The sequence below is a fragment of the Homo sapiens genome, chromosome 2, assembly GCF_000001405.40.
Source record: "Homo sapiens chromosome 2, GRCh38.p14 Primary Assembly".
Taxonomy (NCBI): Eukaryota; Metazoa; Chordata; class Mammalia; order Primates; family Hominidae; genus Homo; species Homo sapiens.
The window spans coordinates 99,181,113-99,200,403 of record NC_000002.12 but is presented as its reverse complement, the minus strand read 5'-3'; the positions used below and the strand labels follow the sequence as shown (position 1 = coordinate 99,200,403).

At 40.3% G+C, this 19,291-nt stretch overlaps 1 protein-coding gene across 2 annotated transcripts, besides 2 other annotated features; it reads right to left on the bottom strand.

Moving 5' to 3' along the window:
• Window positions 1-842: 842 nt before the first annotated feature.
• MRPL30 (mitochondrial ribosomal protein L30) lies at window positions 843-19,220 on the bottom strand. Of its 2 annotated transcripts, NR_028356.2 has the most exons (7): window positions 19,155-19,220; window positions 14,150-14,227; window positions 12,147-12,227; window positions 5,507-5,653; window positions 5,215-5,288; window positions 4,648-4,831; window positions 843-3,250 (listed from the first exon to the last, which is right to left on the bottom strand). NR_028356.2 is itself a non-coding variant. In NM_145212.4 (6 exons), the coding sequence occupies exons 2-6, from the start codon at window positions 14,198-14,200 to the stop codon at window positions 4,699-4,701; spliced, it is 486 nt and encodes a 161-aa protein (NP_660213.1). In that variant the 5' UTR covers window positions 14,201-14,227; window positions 19,155-19,220; the 3' UTR covers window positions 843-4,698. The 2 variants fall into 2 exon arrangements, 1 of the variants encoding a protein (NP_660213.1); NM_145212.4 differs by having other exon boundaries at window positions 843-4,831.
• Window positions 18,839-19,011: a silencer, noted in NCBI's record as "fragment chr2:99797856-99798028 (GRCh37/hg19 assembly coordinates)". NCBI's record gives its function as "represses an EF-1alpha promoter that drives an FKBP-Casp9 reporter gene in an ReSE screen in K562 erythroleukemia cells {active_cell/tissue: K562}" and the evidence as "EXISTENCE:reporter gene assay evidence [ECO:0000049][PMID:32094911]".
• Window positions 19,229-19,278: an enhancer, noted in NCBI's record as "active region_16280". NCBI's record gives its function as "activates an Ori minimal core promoter by ATAC-STARR-seq in GM12878 lymphoblastoid cells {active_cell/tissue: GM12878}" and the evidence as "EXISTENCE:reporter gene assay evidence [ECO:0000049][PMID:35858748]".

The window sequence follows — 19,291 nt, the reverse complement described above, 5'->3', positions numbered from 1 at the left end:
GGATTACAGGCATGAGCCACCACGCCTGACTGTACTTGGCAATTTTTAGTTTCACTTTTTAAGTGTGAATAATCTAAAACCACAATTAAATCAGTTCTCCAAGGGAATCTCTAAGTCTGTGCAGGGTATGGATCGTTCCCTAAGAGGGGTAAGCAATTATGGGCGGTTGCTTTTTTGGGTGAAGGAAGTGGCTGAGTTTAGAGTGTTGTAATATAGGCCAGTGATGTGTAAAAGCAAAGCAACAAAATTCATGGGAGACTAGGTAAGTAGCTGAAAAATCCTGCGAGTTTACTGTCAGTAGAAGACCCTGTACAGCACAGCATGGGAAGCTGTCAAGTTTAGTGGAAACCCTGGAACTAAATCAACTGAAGTTTTCACTTTTATTGCTACTGCTATAGTTCTCAGATGGGGTGAGTATGTCTTGGCTACTGGATCTTACGAAATAAGCAATGGACCCCTGGTGATTTCCACTTAGTTCAATCAGTACCCTAGTGCCTGTTCAGCTTTATAATAAAAAGAAAAGAGGTATGGAGGACTGGTGAATCTAGAATAATGGAAATAATCTTTTGGGAGACAGTAATTGTACCGCTCTGTTTTTCTTTTTTCTTTTTTGAGACAGGATCTCGCCCTGTTGCCTAGGCTGGAGTGCAGTGGTGCAATCATAGTTCATCACAGCCTCAAACTCCTAGACTCAAGTGATCCATCTTGCCATCCCAAAGCGCTAGGATTACAGGCATGGGAGTGGGGTGGGGAGTCGGGGTGTGCACCATGTTCAGCTGTTTATATTATCTTTAAAGTGACCAACAAATTTTCTTTTTTCCAGGTAATACGGAAAACTAGAGAACAGGAAATGAAGAATTGTTTATTTTTCTTCTTGAGCACTTATTTCATGTCATTTAATAATTTTGAGGCAAAAAATAAACAGAAATAATATCCAAAGACATTTTCAGTTTGTTCATTGATTGCCATTCTAATACATAAAGGTAAGAATTTTAGTGACCAGTGTTTTGTATCTGACTCTTATTTTAGAATTTCCAGTGTTCCAAGGATTCCTTATTAATTAATTCCCTCAGGTCTTGAGAGAAAAGTTTTGATATAGAAAAGCAGATTTTGACAAATATACACAAAGAGTGGCAAATGGTTTAGACAGTAATTTGGACCCTTGAAAATTTTATCAAGCTGTGTGATCAAAAAGCTAGTCCTTATTAATTCTCAAAGTATGGAAAGGAAGGAAGGGATACTACTTATGTTAAGCAAAATTATCCCATTTTGAGAAAAACAAGACAATCTCCGCATGGAAGTTTCTTTGCTTTTCATTTTAAGGTACCTCCCAAAGAAGCAATCTTGTTCATGTCAAAATCTCCCTAAAATGGCCTGTGTAGTTCCAAACTGTCCTTGGTGAAACTGTGCCAGTTAGATAATAGGCATACTAGCTAGCATTCTTATGAGAAAAAAAAAATGAAGAAAATAGGTGTTTGGCCTGAAAGAGGTACAATTTTAGATTGAGGAGACCCTAAGAGAACTGCAGTCGTCCTTAAAGGTAGTGTTTGGGTTGACTTGGTGGCCACGGTCACCACCAGATGTCAGGCAAAACCTCCTGAAAGAAGGCAGGTGACACTAAACAAAGCAATCCTCAAAGACACAAAGTCAAGACCGAGGAACAAACCCTTATAGGGTTTTGAAGTGATGATATGAGGCAAAGGAATGCCAATCTGAAGAAACCTTCTAAACTATACAGCCACTATGATAAGGTCCAGGATTGACTTTTCAGGTTTGGCTGGGGGACTTTAAGGAGGCCTCCATGAGCCCTGCCTCCTGTGGTCACACTTCTGTGTAATTCCTCCCTTCCTTGAGTGTAGGTAGGAACTGCAACTTGTTCTTAATGAATGGAATGCAAAAAAGGTGACACGAGGCACATGATTGCATTTATTTGATTATCTAAGAGTGTAGTGCCCATCTTGCTAGTCTGTCTCCAATGCTGGTTTTGGAAGAAGCAACTTGCCATGAATCCTACAGCCATAAGGAAACAAATTCTGCCAACAACCTGAGAGTGCTTGGGAGCAGATCCCTTCCCTGTCAAAGCTACAATGAGCACCTGGCCAGACACGTTTTTCCAGCACTGAGATCCTAAACAGACTACCCAGCTAAGCCACGCCTAGACTTCCGACCCACAAACATTGTGAGACAATAAGTGTGTGTTGTTTTAAGCAGCTAAGTTTGTGGTAATTTGTTCTGCAGCAATAGAAAGCTAATGCTGCTGGCCTATGCCCATATTTTCACTAAAGACTTTTCTTCTTGTAGACACTTTTATTTCTAAATATTCAACTTAACATTTAGATCCCCTCTTCTAGCTATGGGCTGTTGAGATTAAAATTAGTTACTCAAACTTTCTTACTGTTTGAGTAAAAATTAACCATGGTATTTTCCCCTATTTACACAATATTAATATTAGTACAGTAAGGCCAGGTATGGTGGCTCACACCTGTATTCCCAGCACTTTGGGAGGCTGAGGCAGGAGAATCATTTGAGATTAGAAGCTCCAGATCAGTGTGGACAACATAGCAACACTTGGCTCTACAAAAAATTTTAAAAAATACTAGCCGGGAGCGGTGGCATGTATCTGTAGTCCTAGCTGCTCAGGAGGCTGAGGTGGGAGGATCACTTGAGCCCAAGAGTTGGAGGTAATAGTGAGCTACGATCACACCACTGCCCTCCAGGCTGGGCGACAGAGTGAGACCCTGTCTCTAAAGAAAAAAAAATTAGCACAGTAAAAGAGATGGCGCTAAATTAGCAGAGGCTGCTTTTATTTTCACAGATGTCTTCGACCCCACATAAGCAAGGACACTGTATGTTGTGGCACACAGGTTTCTCTCCAACTAGACGGAGCTCTTAGAAGTTAGTGTCCTTTGGCTCCCCTCCAGGCCTTACACACACTGGATATTCAATAACTATGGAATTAAAACTGCAGTTGCCTTTAAGCTTATTTATTAATGGGATCTGGTTTCACTGTGGGTGGCACTTCCACTTTAACGCAACGATCAAAAACATTAAGATCTACGACAGGATGGATATTGGGACAATAAGCATGACAATGTCATTGTTGCCAAGCCAAATTTTACAAGAGGTGAAGGGAAGCAAAGGGTAACTAGAATGCAGAGGTTCTTCATCATCATCTTCAATCAGCTGTCACAGAATTCCCCACTACTGAACCTCCCTTACAATTCTTACTTCTCCCCACCCCTCCAGGTATCTAAAATAGAAAAGAAAGGAAATAATTCTCCCTGAGAGATTTCCGCCTCCTTCTTCTTTCTTTTCAACAGCAACCTCAACTGTTGACAGAGGTTCCTTAGGATTCAAAGAACAATTCTGAAGCTGAAAACAGAATAGTCTGTTTTTGAATAAATCCTAAAATATTTTCATTTCACACCCTTGTTCCATGAGGAAAAAATTTACATAGAGACAAATAGGTTTTGTTCAGGCAGTGTGCAATAATAAAGTTTAGGCCAAATTAGATTTATAATTAGATATTAAATGCTGGTTTGGTACTAAGTTTAGGGATAAAATGAACCCATATCCACATATGTACTTATAGACACCAAAGCACAGAACAGATAATCTAGCTGGCATCCAGTGTTTCTTGACTTTGGCTGAATCTCTGTTCCCCAGAACAGACTGTAAGCTCCAAAAGGTGGGGACCATGTTTTGGTCAGCTTTGGATTTCTCCAACACCTTGCACAGTGTTCATGCAAAGAGCCACTCACAGAAATTGTTGAATTCACTTAAAAAAGAAAACAATTTTGGCTGGGTACAGTGGCTCATGCCTGTAATCCCAGCATTTTGGGAGGCTGAGGTGGGAGGATGGCTTGAACCCAGGAGTTTGAGACCAGCTTGGACAACATAGTGAGTCCCTGTCTCTATGAAAAAACTTTAAAAAATTAGCTGGATGTGGTGGCACACTGCCTGTAGTCCTAGCTACTCTGGAGGCTGAGGTGGGAGGATCACTTGAGCCTGGGAGGTCGAGGCTGCAGTGAACTGAAATCATGCCACTGTATTCCAGCTTGGGTGACAGAGCAAGACCCTGTCTCAAAAACAACAACAACAATACTAACGCAATTTTTATAAAATGGTTAATGAGGCTTGCTAAGGTGGCAGTAGACCCAAACGCAGATGTTCAAACATTGCCATTCTTACATGTTTTGGAGTGAAACAGTGAAAGGGAAAGGACAGAGAATTAAACCAAATTAAACTAAAATCTCCAAGTCTGTAGTAAAAGAGAGCTGCAGCAGGTTTAGTCAGTGAAAAAAAAATTTTTTTTTTTCCCCTGAGATGGAGTCTCATCCTATCACCCAGGCTGGAGTACAGTGGCACCATCTCAGCTCACTGCAACCTCTGCCTCCCGGGTTCAAGTGATTCTCCTGCTTCAGCCTCCCGAGTAGCTGGGTTACAGGCATGTGCCACCATGCCTGGCTAATTCTGTATTTTCAGTAGAGATGGGGGTTTCTCCATGTTGGTCAGGCTGGTCTCGAACTCTTGACCTCAGGTGATCTGCCCGCCTTGGCCTCCCAAAGTGCTGGGATTACAGGTGAGCCACCGTGCCCGGCCTGAAAATGGTTTTGAAAACATATTTTAATGAAAACACTTTCTCACCATCTTTAAATAAAAACAATTTGCATTTTCCAATCGGAAGCTGCTGGGGCATTAGGACTCATGTGCTTTCTGCTCCACAGGTTTCAGATGCCACTGCACTACTAACTCCCCAGTGCTTTTGAGGCACGTGTTAGACATGTTCTCCTCTGCTGGAAGTCCTTGTGGCAACTTCAAGGGCTTGATTCTGTGACACAAGAAAATGCGTTTAGATAGGAGGAATACGTTCTAGCGTTCTATATCCCCGCAGGATAACTACAGTTAACAATAACACATAGTTTCAAATAGCTAGGAGGAGGATGTTGAATGTTCCCAACATGAAGAAATGGTAAATGTCTGAGATGATGGATATGCCAATTACCCTGATCGGATCACTATACTTTATATATATTGAAACGTCACTATGTACCCCATAAATATGTACAATTATTATGTGTCAATTAAAAAAAAACAAAATAAAATTTTAGTTTTTTAAAAAGTTTTTTTCAGAACATTAACGAAAAAAGAAAAATGCATTTAGAATTACACTAGGCAATACATTTTAAAAAGAGCTGAGAAGAAACAACAAACCTTATCAAATGCTTAACTACTTTCAATTTTGCATTCACTGAAGGGATATTCTTGTGAACTTGAGGGGTATGTGCCTGTGAACAACAACAACAAAGCAACGTTATCAATCTGAAAAGCAGATAGTTCCATGTTTCAGTAAAATGTTAAATTGAAGGTTCATTCTAAGCCAAATTTATAAATAAATTACCCTAAGTAATACAAAATAAATAATAAATGTATACCGCAAAGTTTTAAAAGTATAAAATTTAAAGCAATGTAAACAACACTAAAGATGATTAAAATAATTGCATACTTTTTCTAATCCAAGCATCTTTATTATATCTTTTTCCCAATATGGACGTCTTCTTGTACTTTTTATTCTGGTAACAATATGCAGTTTATGAGGGTTCTGTGGATCCCCACCGTATTTTTCATGATCTTCAGGTGAGGCCTGAAACACCTAGAAAGGAAAGAATTATAAATGGTAAATTTCCAACTTACACAGTTTCTGTGTACCTCCCATTTTTTCTTAAAAGACACACACACATACACAACTACATAATTACCTCATCCTTAATCATCATGTAATCCTCAACCTCAGATTGAACATTTCTATCAATCTGATTATGCAGATAGATGGAGTTTAACCTGTAGAACAAAGCAGGAGCAACCAGACAACACTAAATAATTTAAATGTCAGGAGAATCTGTAAGCACTGCTATGAGCTGGGCACTGGGCTGCATCCTCTTCCCTCCCTATTCTCAGGTGAAGAGCTGACTATCAAGTGGGAAAACAAACATGTAAATTAAAAATGAAAATAAAACATAAGTATTATAAAAAGAATCTACAAAGTATTATGAGAATACAGGCAAATGACTAATGAACTCTGCCTATGAGCGATCAGAAACAGCTCCACAGAGCTAATACTTGAATTAATTATCTAAGAATCAAAAGGTTCTAAGAAACTATCCCACAGAAACACTCCTCTAAGTATACAAAATATACCGAATAAGGATGTGTATTCTAACACTATGTGTAACACTGAAAAGTTTAAAGGCAACCCGTGTTCCTCACCATGATAACTACATTATGATGCATCCATTCTAAATAAAATGATTAATAATAAAACTAAGTAAAATGATACAAATACACAAATTCTTTTTTTTTTTTTTTGAGATGGAGTCTTGCTCTATCGCCCAGGCTGGAGTGCAATGGCACGATCTTGGCTCACTGCAACCTCTGCCCCCAAGGTTCAAGCGATTCTCTTGCTTCAGCCTCACGAGTAGCTGGGATTACAGGCGCACACCACCGTGCCCAGCTAATTTTTCTATTTTTGGTAGAGATGGGGGTCTCACCATGTTGGCCAGGCTGGTCTCGAACTCCTGACCTTGTGATCCGCCCGCCTTGGCCTCCCAAAGTGCTAGGATTACAGGTGTGAACCACCACGCCTGGCGCAAATACACAAATTCTGATGTATCCTATAGGATACAATACTACCATTAAAATGAATGAGGTTTACTATCTTTGCAGGTCTTCACATTGAATGATGGCCATAATATATTCTTGAGCCAAAAACCAAAAAGAAATGTCCACACAATTATGTGTTGTAAGCTGTTATGTGCATCATCTGTACCAAATACATGAGTGTGCATATGTGATATATTCTATAAATACTGTTTCTAAGACTCATATAAAATATATATAAAGGTCTCAAAGACATTAGATCAAGAGTCATAGCTCTGGGGAAGCAGATTTAGAAAAAAAATTGACCCCCAAAAAGATGGTATTTTAATAAAAAAGAATATCATTCATGATTAAAAACAGTTTTGTAGAAATGTAAACAGTGTAAAAGCGTTCTTATTTCTCCACAGCCTTGCCAGCATCTATTGTTTCTTGACTTTTTAATAATCGTCACTCTGACTGGCATGAGGTAGTATCTCATTGTGGTTTTGATTTGCATTTCTCTAATGATCAGTGATGATGAGCTTTTTTTCATATGTTTCTTGGCCACATAAATATCTTCTTTTGAGAAGTGTCTGTTCATTTCCTTTGCCCACTTTTTGATGGGATTGTTTGTTTTTTTCTTGTAAATTTAAGTTCCTTGTAGATTCTGGATATTAGACCTTTGTCAGATGGGTAGATTGCAAAATTTTTCTCCCATTCTGTAGGTTGCCTGCTCACTCTGATGCGAGTTTCTTTTGCTGTGCAGAAGCTCTTTAGTTTAATTAGATCCCATTTGTCAATTTTGGCTTTTGTTGCAATTGCTTTTGGTGTTTTAGTCATGAAGGCTTTGCCCATGCCTATGTCCTGAATGGTATTGCCTAGGTTTTCTTCTGAGGTTTTTATGGTTTTGCACTATTGGTGGGAATGTAAATTAGTTCAACCATTGTGGAAGACAGTGTGGTGATTCCTCAAGGATCTAGAACCAGAAATACCATTGGACTCAGCAATCCCATTACTGGGTATATACCCAAAGGAATATAAATCATTCTACTATAAAGACACATGCACATGTATGTTTATTGAAGCAGTACTTACAATAGCAAAGACATGGAACCAACCCAAATGCCCATCAATGATAGACTGGATAAAGAAAATGTGGTACATATACACCATGGAATACTATGCAGCCATAAAAAGGAATGATGTCATGTCCTTTGCAGGGACATGGATGAAGCTGGATGCCATCATCCTCAGCAAACTAATACAGGAACAGAAAACCAAATACCGCATGTTCTCACTCATAAGTGGGAGTTGAGCAATGAGAACACACGGGGAGTCGGGGGCAAAGGGAGACCATTAGGACAAACACCTAATGCATGTAGGGCTTAAAACCTAGATGACGGGTTGATAGGTGCAGCAAACCACCATGGCACATATATACCTATGTGACAAATCTGCACGTGTATACCGGAACTTAAAAAAAAATGTATACAGTGAGAGGTTCATATTATATTACTAAACAGAGAGAGCAGCTAGAGAAGCATTGATTCATATGAGATGAATCACATCTTAAAACACACAACACAGATTGAACTCCGTATTCTACTCTTTCCTCCTCATTACTGCACTTGACTAGTCTAAAAGAAAAAAATAAAACATACAACAAAGAAGGATGTGGAAGGAGTTGGCAGCAGTTATCTCGGGGTGGGTAAGATTAAGAGTATTTTTTGGTGAGTTTTGCTTGTTTATATTTTTCTAGAGATTTTGAAGAGATTAGGATGAGAAGGATGGTGGAGATCAGAGGAAGGGGTAGGTGCACTAAAGAAAGGTGAGAATATTTAAAGGAACAGTATGAAGGAGCACAAAATATTTTGGAAAGGCAAGTGGTTCAGGGTGGCTAATATAGAAAAAAGCACGAAAAGTAATGCAGAGGATGAAGTTAAACTATGCGCGACTATGTTGAGCCTTTAGAAATTACCGCTGGGGATACAGAGTTAATGAAGGTTAGAACCAATAGGACCATGTTTCTATGAGATTTGCAAAGAAAACTCTTACCTAAGAATAAAACCAACTGGGGATAGAGACTGATACAAGGAAACCCAGTTAGGAGGCACTTATGACCATGGTTTAAGAGCCTGAACTACAGTAGCTGTAACAGAAAAAGGACTGATATGGGAACTCTGGGCAGTAATATAGATGGATTTGTGTTGGGTGAAGAAGAGGGAGGCTGAGCTTGATTCAGATGTCTTTAGTCTGGGAAATTAGATAGAGGATGGTAGCATTAACTGACATAACTAATACAAGAGACGCACCCTCTTTTTTATTTGGTTGTTTGGAGGGAAAGTAAGATGAGTTGAATTTTGGATATGAACTTGAAATACCTATAAGTTATCCAAGTAGCAATGTCTAGAAACCAGTTGAGAATACAGGAGAATACAGGAATAAGTTCAGACGATAGGCAGGGGCCAGGCGTGGTTGCTCACGCCTGTAATTCCAGCACTTTGGGAGGCCAAGGGGGGTGGATCACGAGGTCAGGAGATCAAGACCATCCTGGCCAGCATGGTGAAACCCTGTCTCTACTAAAAATACAAAAATTAGCTGGGTGTGGTGGCACATGCCTGTAATCCCAGCTACTTGGGAGGCTGAGGCAGGAGAATTGCTTGAACCCGGGAGATGGAGGTTGCAGTGAGCCGAGACCACGCCACCACACTCCAGCCTGGAGACAGAGCGAGACTCCGTCTCCAAAAAAAAAAAAAAAGATAGTCAGGGGCTATTTTCATGAGGTTTAAAGGTTTTCATATTTATCACAGTTGATGATCAAAACCACTGCCTTGCACATTTATTTTATTTAAAGTTCCAGGGCACAAATATAGGATGTGCAGGTTTGTTACATAGGTAAACATGTGCCATGGCAATCTGCTGCACTATTTGCTACACTTATCAACCCATCACCTAGGTATGAAGCCCAGTATGCATTAGCTATTTTTCCTGGTGGTCTCCCTCCACTCGCCCCCTACAGGCCCCAGTGTGTGTTATTCTCCTGCCTGTGCCTAGCCTTGCATATTTTAAATGAATGCCAACATTTGTATCTATCCTTCCAGAAATACAGAGTAAGAAACATGGAAAGATATAAGACAATATAGTTGTGGAAAGAATAGCAGTGGAAAGACAATGACTTGAAAAATAAAAAAGATTTCTTTATTTTGTTTTGAGACAAGGTCTCACTCTGTTGCCCAGGCTGGAGTGCACTGATCCGATCATGGCTCACTACACCCTTGACCTCTTGCTAAAGTGATCCTCTCATCTCAGCCTCCTGAGCAGTTGGGCCTGCAGGCATGCACCACCACACCTAGCTAATTTTTAAATTTTTTGTAGATACAGAGTCTCACTATGTTGCCCAGGCTGGTCTTGAATTCCTGGACTCAAAAGATCCTCCTGCCTCAGCCTCCCAAAATGCTAGGAATACAGGTGTGAACCATTGTACCTGGATGAGATTTCTGATAAAAGAACACCAAGCACATTAAAGGTATCAAAGTAGTCAATGGTAATACTGTTTTATCTTTTAAGAAAATCAATGGAGAATGGTAGTCACCAGAAGCTAGGGAGAGGGGAAAATGGGGAGTTACTATTATTATTAATTTTTGAGACAGGATCTTGCTCTGTTGTCCAGGCTGGAGTGCAGTGGCACAATTATAGGTCACTGCAGCCTTAACCTCTTGAGATTGAGCAATCCTCCCCGCTCAGCCTCCTGAGTAGCTAGGACTACAGGTGTGTACCACAACACCCATCTAATTTTTTTTTTTTTTTTGGTAGAGACTGGGTCTCCTTATGTTGCCTAGGTTGGCAGTTATTATTTAGTGGATATAGAGTTTCAGTTTTGCAAGATGAAAAGAGTTCTGGAGATGGATGGTTGTAATAGTTGCACAACAGTGTCAATGTACTTAATGCCATTGAATAGCACACTTAAAAGTGGTTAAGATGGTAAATGTTATATGTGTATTTTACCACAATAAAAAATATTAGGAACCCCCCACCCAAAACAAATAAACAAAAAACCCAGGCTTTACAAAGCTAAATGTAGTCTTTACCATACAATCCAGCAATTATGCTCCAGGTATTTAACTCATGAGTTGGAAATTTATGTCCACACAAAAATCTATACATGAATGTTTATAGCAGCTTTGTTCATTACTGTCCAAAACTAGAAGCAACCAAGATGTTTTTCCATAGATGAATGCACACATAAACTGTGTATGTCTATGCAATGGGATATTATTCAGCAATAAAAAATAAGCAAGCAAGCCACAAAAAGACATGGAGGAACCTTACAGGTATATTGCTAAGAGAAAGAAGCCAGTTTGAAAGGGCTACATACCATATGATTTCAGCTATATTACATTCTAGAAAAGGCAAAACTATGGAGATAATAAAAAGATCAGTGCTTGCCAGGGGTTAGGAGTTGGGAAGGATAAATAGGTGAACCACAGGTGATACTTAGGGCAGTGAAACTATTCTGTATAATACTGTAATAGTGGATACATGACATTATGCATTTGTCAAAACCCATAGAACTTCACAACATGAAGACTGAACACTAGTGTAAACTATGGTATTTAGTTAATAATACTGTGTCCCGTTGGTTCATCAGTTGTGGGGGACACTGTATATGCTGGGCGGAGGGAGCACATAGGAACTCTCCATACTTCCCAATCAATGTTTCTGCAAACCTAAAACTGCTTTAAGAAATAAAGACTATTAATTAAAAAACAAATAAAAACAGGCCAGGCGCCTGTAATCCCAGCACTTTGGGAGGCCAAGGCGGGTGGATCACTTGAGATCAGTAGTGCAAGACCAGCCTGGGCAACATGATGAAACCCCATCTCTACTAAAAATACAAAAATTAGCCGGGTGTGGTGGCACGGGCCTGTGGTCCCAGATACTCTGGAGGCTGAGGCACAAAAACTGTTTGAACCCGGGAGACGGAGGTTGCAGTGAGATGAGATTGCACCACTGCACTCCAGCCTGGGCAACAAAGCAAAACTCTCTTTAAAAAAAAATTTTAAACAAAAATCAATGGCGGGCTTAGTCAATATTATCTAAAAGAATGATAGGTACACAGAAATGAAATAGAAAAAGCTGAAAGATCCAAAGTAACAATGATCGATACGGAAAGTGAAAATGAAGAGTGACACAGTGAGAGCCTGAGTAGGAAGACCCACTGCTTTCTCAGGACAATGGTGATACCAACACACATGTACAAACCACAAGCAGGAATAAGTAGACTGAAATAATAAAAACCCATTACTGTGAAGGCCAGTGACACAAGTGACAGAACAGTTTTATTTTTATGATCACCATTCACATAAATCCCACTATGCTTTAAACTCTGTACCATCACCTACATCCACATATAATTTAACATAAAATCTTCCAATATTACAAAAACGGGTACCACTTAAAACATTTTTTAAAACAACACTAACATTAAAAAAATCAAACTTTGTTCTTACTTTTTCTGGAATTCTTGATCTGGTGAATTTGTGACGAATCCAATCTGTACAAATAAGAGACTCCACACCTTTTGTCACAGTCTAAAATATGATATAAATCATTTGTTTTTTAGAATTCTGTCAGTAGAGAAATCCATACCCACCAATCTTTAGGTAACAGAAGTCTGTTCCAACCTACCCTATAATTATTAAAGGTATATCTTAGCTCCCTAGCTGAGTGAACGCATCCCATCTAAGCACTAACATAATATAAAGCTAAAAGCATATAAATATACTTTTAGACCACGGATTGGTAACCGTTTTCTGTAAAGGACCAGATAGTAAACATTTCCAGCTCTAGAGCTATGTAGTCTCCATTGCCAAAACTCAGCTTGGCCATCACAGGGTAAAAGCAGTCAGACAATATGCAAACTTTTCTTTTTTTTTTTTTGAGACGGAGTCTCGCTCTGTCACCCAGGCTGGACTGCACTGGCGCAATCTCGGCTCACTGCAACCTCTGCCTCCTGGGTTCACGCCATTCTCTTGCCTCAGCCTTCTGAATAGCTGGGACTACAGGCGCCCACCACCACGTCCAGCTAATTTTTTTTTGTATTTTTAGTAGAGATAGGGTTTCACCGTGTTAGCCAGGATGGTCTCGATCTCCTGACCTCGTGATCCGTCCACCTTGGCCTCCCAACGTGCTGGGATTACAAGCGTGAGCCACCGCGCCCAGCCGGGTGTGGATATTTTTCAATAAAACTGTTATTTACAAAAATAGGTGGGAGGCTGAATTTGGCCTAAAGGCCATAGTTTATCAACTCTTGCTCTAGACAATGTGCAATAACTCACATTTAACAAGACAATACAAAAGAAATCCAAAATGAGTTTCTAGTTTCCCTCCTAGTTCTAACAATGTCATCACTCCTAGTTCCTACCTCTTGTTCCTGCTCTACATTCCTCCAATCCCATTTCTCTCAGGCTGCTGAAGAAAAAGGATTCACTGCCAACCTTTCATACCAGGATACTGCTGTGGGAATGGGCAACAGTCATTCCCATCATTCCCTCCCAGCATTTCCTGCATTGCAGAGATGGCATAAACCACTAGAAGACAGGCACTGGGCTGAGTTCTGCTGCCTACCAGCTGTGAGACATGAGACACTTACTCTCTCAGAGGGTCAGTTTCCTCAGCTCTAAAAAGGAACTCATATTGACCTCACAGGATTAATCTGAGGTTAAGGTAATATATACAAAGCCCCTTACATTGTTGTCCTCTGCAGCCAGGAGCAGGTCAATAGGCTCATCTAGGCTCTGGCCCTTATGAGCAGATTAGGCAGCACCACTGCACTTTCTAAAAGCAAGCCTAGAAGGAGACACATGAAAATACTAACACTGAGGGTCTCTTACAGATTATTTCTCTTCCTTCTGATTTTCTATATTTTTCTAATATTTTATTATTGAAAATGCACTCCTTCCATAATCTAAGGGGAAAAACAACCTAAAACTTTAAGATTAAGACAGACCAAGGGGAATCAATGACAGCCATTTTTTATTGGCATGTTTTCCAGAAAAAGATCTTTTTTGATTCTAGATCTTTAGGGATAAAACAGCAGAAAAACCATACATAAACAAGATTAACTCTCAATATCTAAACCATTTCGAAAAGGAACTGGTGAAATAACTTAATTTTGGGTGGCCGGGGCAGGTGGATCACAAGGTCAGGAGTTGGAGACCAGCCTGGCCAATATGGTGAAACCCCCGACTATATGAAAAATACAAAAATTAGCCAGGCATAGTGGCAGACACCTGTAGTCCCAGCTACTCAGGAGGCTGAGGCAGGAGAATTGCTTGAATCAGGGAGGCAGAGACTACAGTGAGCCCAGATTGTGCCACTGCACTCCAGCCTGGGTGACAGAGAGAGACTTCGTCTCAAAAAAATAAAAAAAAGAACTTAGCTTGCCTTGTAATGATTAAAAAAAAAATTCATAAGGGGTAGAAAAGACAAATTCTTGAAAAGAAACACTTACCTGTAGTCTGCCTGGGGGCCATTGAACTACTAAGCGCAAAATCCCAGCCATAAGTGTAGTGATTGCTCTCTTTAGAGGCTGTGGGAAGTAGGAAGTAGACCCATCAGTCAACTATGTCTTGGAAATGAACAGGTTTCCCCTTCTCTAGTATTAAAAAACTAAGCAGCAAATTAATTGTAAACTTAACAGTAAAATTATTGGTTATTTTAATATAATAAGGGCACGAATTAATTTATAAATGTTTTATTCAACCACAGGTAGTAATTATACACATTAGCCACATCCCACTTTCATCAAATGAGTCAGTCCTAGATTGATTCCACAAAATTACTATCATTTAAAGTGTCTTCTTCAACAATGAAGGCAGATAAAGAATGCTTTGCCATAGAATCACAGAAAATTAAAGAGCTAGAAGGGACTGAAGAAATTCCAACTCCTATAATTAGAACTGACTGCCCACATCCTTACTTTATGAATGAGGATCATGAATTCCAGAAAGTTCAATAACTTATCCAAGTGCATCCAGCTATCAATAAAGTTTGTGGTCTGGAACCCCATTCTCCTAATTCCTAGGCAAGTGCATTTTCACTAAATCATAACACCTTTCTGTTAAAAAGTAGAATTTTTTTTGCTTGTTTGTACTTTTTAAACTATTCTCAATGCACACGCATTGCTTCTATAACCTAAAAAGGTCATATTTATTTAATTACACACAAAACAACTGTAGCCTACTATACTGACTTATACTGATAGCAGAAAGATTAAGTTCATGAACTACATGTATATCTCGGACAGGTTACTTAATTCGTGCGTTACAATTTTTCCCCCAGAAAAGAAAGAAAATACCTGTCTTGCAAATGAGTTATTCTACAAAGCACCTAAAACAGTACCTGGCATGTGGGAAGCCCTCAATAAATAGTAGCTTTTATTATTATTAAATTACTACAAAGCTAATAAGAATACTCTTAAAACTGCAGTCCCCAACCTTTCTGACACTGGACCAGTTTCATGGAAGACAATTTTTCCACAGATAGGGAGGGGTGGAAGGGAAGGTTTCCGGATGAAACTGTTCACCTCAGATCATCAGGCATTAGATTCTTATAAGGAGCATGCAATCTAGATCCCTTGCATGCACAGTTCACAGTAGCGTTCACGCTCCTATGAGAATCTAATGTTGGACTGCTCTGACAGGTGGTGGAGCTCAGGTGGTAATGCTCACTCAACCACAGCTCACCTCCTGCTGTGCCATCTGGTTCCTAATGGGCCAGCAAATGGTCTGGGTCTAAGGCCTGGGGTTTGGAGACCTCTGCTCTAACACACTAAAATAGGCTAAGTGTTGTAATTCAGTGTCCCGCAGATTCTAGCTCATTCAAGTTCTGCAAGTCTTTCCTGTGATGTGGATAAAGCAACGGAACTGTGAGAATCAACGCAAGACATCTCCTGAAGACAGCCAGACCTCAGAAACATTCCTCAGCAACTGAACCTATCTAATGCTAAATTATTTTACCAGACTTCCTCGTATCAAGGTTAGGTACTTAATCCAACATACTTAGCTTCACACTTTAAAAAATCTTTCTGATCACTTAGATCTCAACAAAATCCTAACTGGACTTCTGCTTCCATTCCAATTCCCCTAATATCTTTTTTGTATATCAGCAATAAATCATCTCATTAAATCTTAGATCATGTCACTCTGCTCAAAAATCTTCCAGAGAGCCAGGATTCTCACTGTTGAAGTGGGAGGTTACATATAAGCAAGAGGGGAAGGCTACAATGATCCTTATATACTAGATTGGAAATGGAACTCATGTTTAGCTTAATATAGCTATTGAGGGATATAGAAGTAATTACAGATATGCATATATACATGGGCTAGCTCTGTTAGCTGAGAGGACTTAAAGCACTAGCACTCAGTGGCAAGGAGCACACCCAGTGCCCAGATCTTGGCTGCATTCTTTAATAAAAGGAACCAGTGCTCCTTTGAGAAATGGCTGATTATGTCTGGAGCACTTTGTAATGCTAGAAAGGAACTACTGGAAAAAACATAACGATGGGGTATGTCAAAGTGACACTGCAGTCAACTGTACCCAAAGCTGGAACAATTTCAGCAACAAAATAAGTAACAAAGTATTACTGGCTTATAATCCAAACCAAAATAAATAAATAAATAACCCTAAATTCATACTAATATAAATAGGTGAATAAGTTAATGAGAAAGAACAAATATCCCATTCAGAAGAATTCCAAATAATTTATGTAGGTACTCTCTTCCAGTATCTTCCCAAACACCTAACTGCCTCAAAACTGTCAATGATATCAAAAACAAGGAAAGTCTGAGAAACTGTCACAGTTAAGAGGAGCCTAAGGAAGAAGTCATGACCATTAAATGTAATGTGGTATCCTGGATGGGATCCTGGAATAGCAAAAGGACATTTGGCAAAAACTAAGTAAATCTAAATAAAGTATGGACTTTAATAACGTATCAATATTGGTTCATCAACTGTACACAGGTATACCAAACATGAAAGGGGGAAACAGTGTAGCATATACAGAAACTCCATACCATCTTCACAACTTCTTTGAAAATCTAAAACTATTCAAAAATAAAGTTTATTTATGAAAAAATTAAAACCTCCAATGCTTGTCCATTTTGATCACAGTGAAAATCAATTTTTTTTTTTTTTTTGAGACAGAGTCTCGCTTTGTCACCCAGGCTGGAGTGCAGTGGCCCAATCTTGGCTCACTGCAACCTCCGCCTCCTGGGTTCAACCGATTATCCTGCCTCAGCCTGCTGAGTAGCTGGGATCAGAGGCACCTGCCACCACGTCCAGCTAATTTTTGTATTTTTAGTGGAGACGGGGTTTCACCATGTTGGCTAGGCTGCTCTTGAACTCCTGACCTCAGGTGATCCGCCCGCCTGGGCTCCCAAAGTGCTGGGGTTACAAGCATGGGCCACCACCCCCAACTCTAATTCTTAACCCTCACCCTCTCATGTCTTTGTAGTACAGCACTACCAACCTTCCCCACCTCCAGGACTCCATCTCCAATTACTCTCTTGCTCAATCACCAGACATGCTGCCCCCCTTGTTTGATCTAGAACTAGTCAAGCAGGCATGCTCCCTTTGACTGACCATTCCCTCTCCTGGAATGATCCTGATATTTACATGGCTAATTTCCTTATCTTTTTCAATTTTTGGGTCAAATCTCACCTTTTCAATGAGGTCAACCCAGATCACATCATTTAACATTTTCACCCATACCCCAACTGTCAACACTCCCAATTCCTCTTCACTGCTTTCTATCGTGCTTATCTTCTAACGTAACTTAATTATCTGTTAGGTTTTGTTGTTTAGTGCATGTACATTCAATAGCACGCTAATTCCATAGGAAAAGGGTTTTTAGATTTTGTTGTTTTGGGTCTGTTATATTCATAGAAGTATCCCAAACATCTGTGTAAAGCGGTATCTGCCCTATAGCAGACATATAATATATTTTTGCAGAATAACTGAAGTTTAAATATTTACAGACTTCTGAAGGTGTGATAGTCAAAAGTTACAAGTTTTTAGAGACAGAGTCTCGCTATGTTTCTGGTATTGAACTCAGCCTCAAGCAATCCTCAATTTTCCCAGTAATTGGAGCTAGGTGTGTGTCACCACGTTTGACTCAAAGAATACGTTTATTTTATCTTATTTATTTTTTTGAGACGGAGTCTCGCTCTGTCGCCCAGGCTGGAGTGCAGTGGCACGATCTGGGTTCACTGCAAGCTCCGCCTCCCGGGTTCACGCCATTCTCCTGCCTCGGCCTCCCCAGTAGCTGGGACTACAGGCGCCCGCCCGGACGCCCGGCTAATTTTTTGTATTTTTAGTAGAGACGGGGTTTCACCGTGTTAGCCAGGATGGTCTCGATCTCCTGACCTCGTGATCCTCCCGCCTCGGCCTCCGAAAGTGCTGAGATTACAGGCGTGAGCCACCACGCCCGGCAAGGAATACGTTTTAATAAAGTAAAAGTTACTGTTAATAATTAGGCACGTAACTCCTGGACCCTGAAACAATTACGCTGTCTTCTGTAAAACAGGAAAATATCAGGCATCACAGGAGAAGTATGATCCCATTTCTATTTTTTTAAATGTCTGTGAACGTGTGTAATCACAGAAAAACTCTGGAAGGTTGTCAGAAAAACGTTAACATACCCCTGGGGGTATGAAAAAAGGCGTTTTTCCTCCCCCTTCTCCCCCCCAGCGACCGATAGTTCTTTTGTCTTTTTACAATGAGCATGCATGCAACAGGAATGTTAAAAATCGATTTCTTTTTCTAAACCGACAATGTATACAATTATTAAAGGGGGAAAAACACTTCTGAAATGCAAAACATGGAATCACTCTTGCAGAGATACCAGAGATCTCTGAAAGCTGGAAGCGTGTCTCTTCTCTGAACTCCTAGTGCCTAACAAGCAGTAGGCAGCCCTCATTACTGCCTCTTGGCAAAAAGGGCAGAACAAACAGCTTTTGGTAGGTCTCGATCAAAATGGTAACAAATCACAGTTTTAATAAAATGGCAAATATTCTAACTGCCAACTCTTGGATGTTTGCATTATAAAATGAAGCAATACAAAGATAAAGGCAATTTTCTGTCTTCATTAAAAAAAAAAAAAAGCAACCTTAATACCCAGTGGCAACCCTAAGTTATGAATAAAGCAGCAGCACAGAAAATGCTGCTTGGGTTCCCTTTCCCAAGCTGTCCAGCCTCGGCGGCTCCGTTCTTGAGCTCCAAGAGTCTGGGCACAAAAAGCCGCGTGGCCCTGGATCCTGCAAATTGGGAAACGGGGGGATCCTGCAGGCCAATGGCCTTACGGGAGCCAATGTGACGGGATCAGGGGCAGACCCATTTAGGTTGCCGTAACCGGCCAATTCAGTACGCAATAGGGAAAATCAATTAGGATCTGCAGAGGGTTCCCGGATACACCTTGCGAAGAATGCCGCACTCTCCGCCACTCATTCCCCACTCACCGGCACCCGCTAAACCTTCAGCCTGAAATTTTCCTCCGAAGGGAAGCAGAGCAGAGGAAGAACTACCAAGTGCTACACTCAAAGCCTGCCGTCGCAGTGAGCGCGACCTCCAAACTGAGGCATTTTTGTTCCGGCGA

Coding starts and splice junctions, on each gene's coding strand:
- MRPL30 (NM_145212.4), bottom strand. CDS start 14,200: ATGGCTGGGATTTTGCGCTTAGTAGTTCAATGGCCCCCAGGCAGACTA. Junction 5,654..12,146: donor GATCAAGAATTCCAGAAAAA/GTAAGAACAAAG, acceptor TTTCCTTTCTAG/GTGTTTCAGGCCTCACCTGA. Junction 5,289..5,506: donor AGATGCTTGGATTAGAAAAA/GTATGCAATTAT, acceptor TGTTGTTCACAG/GCACATACCCCTCAAGTTCA.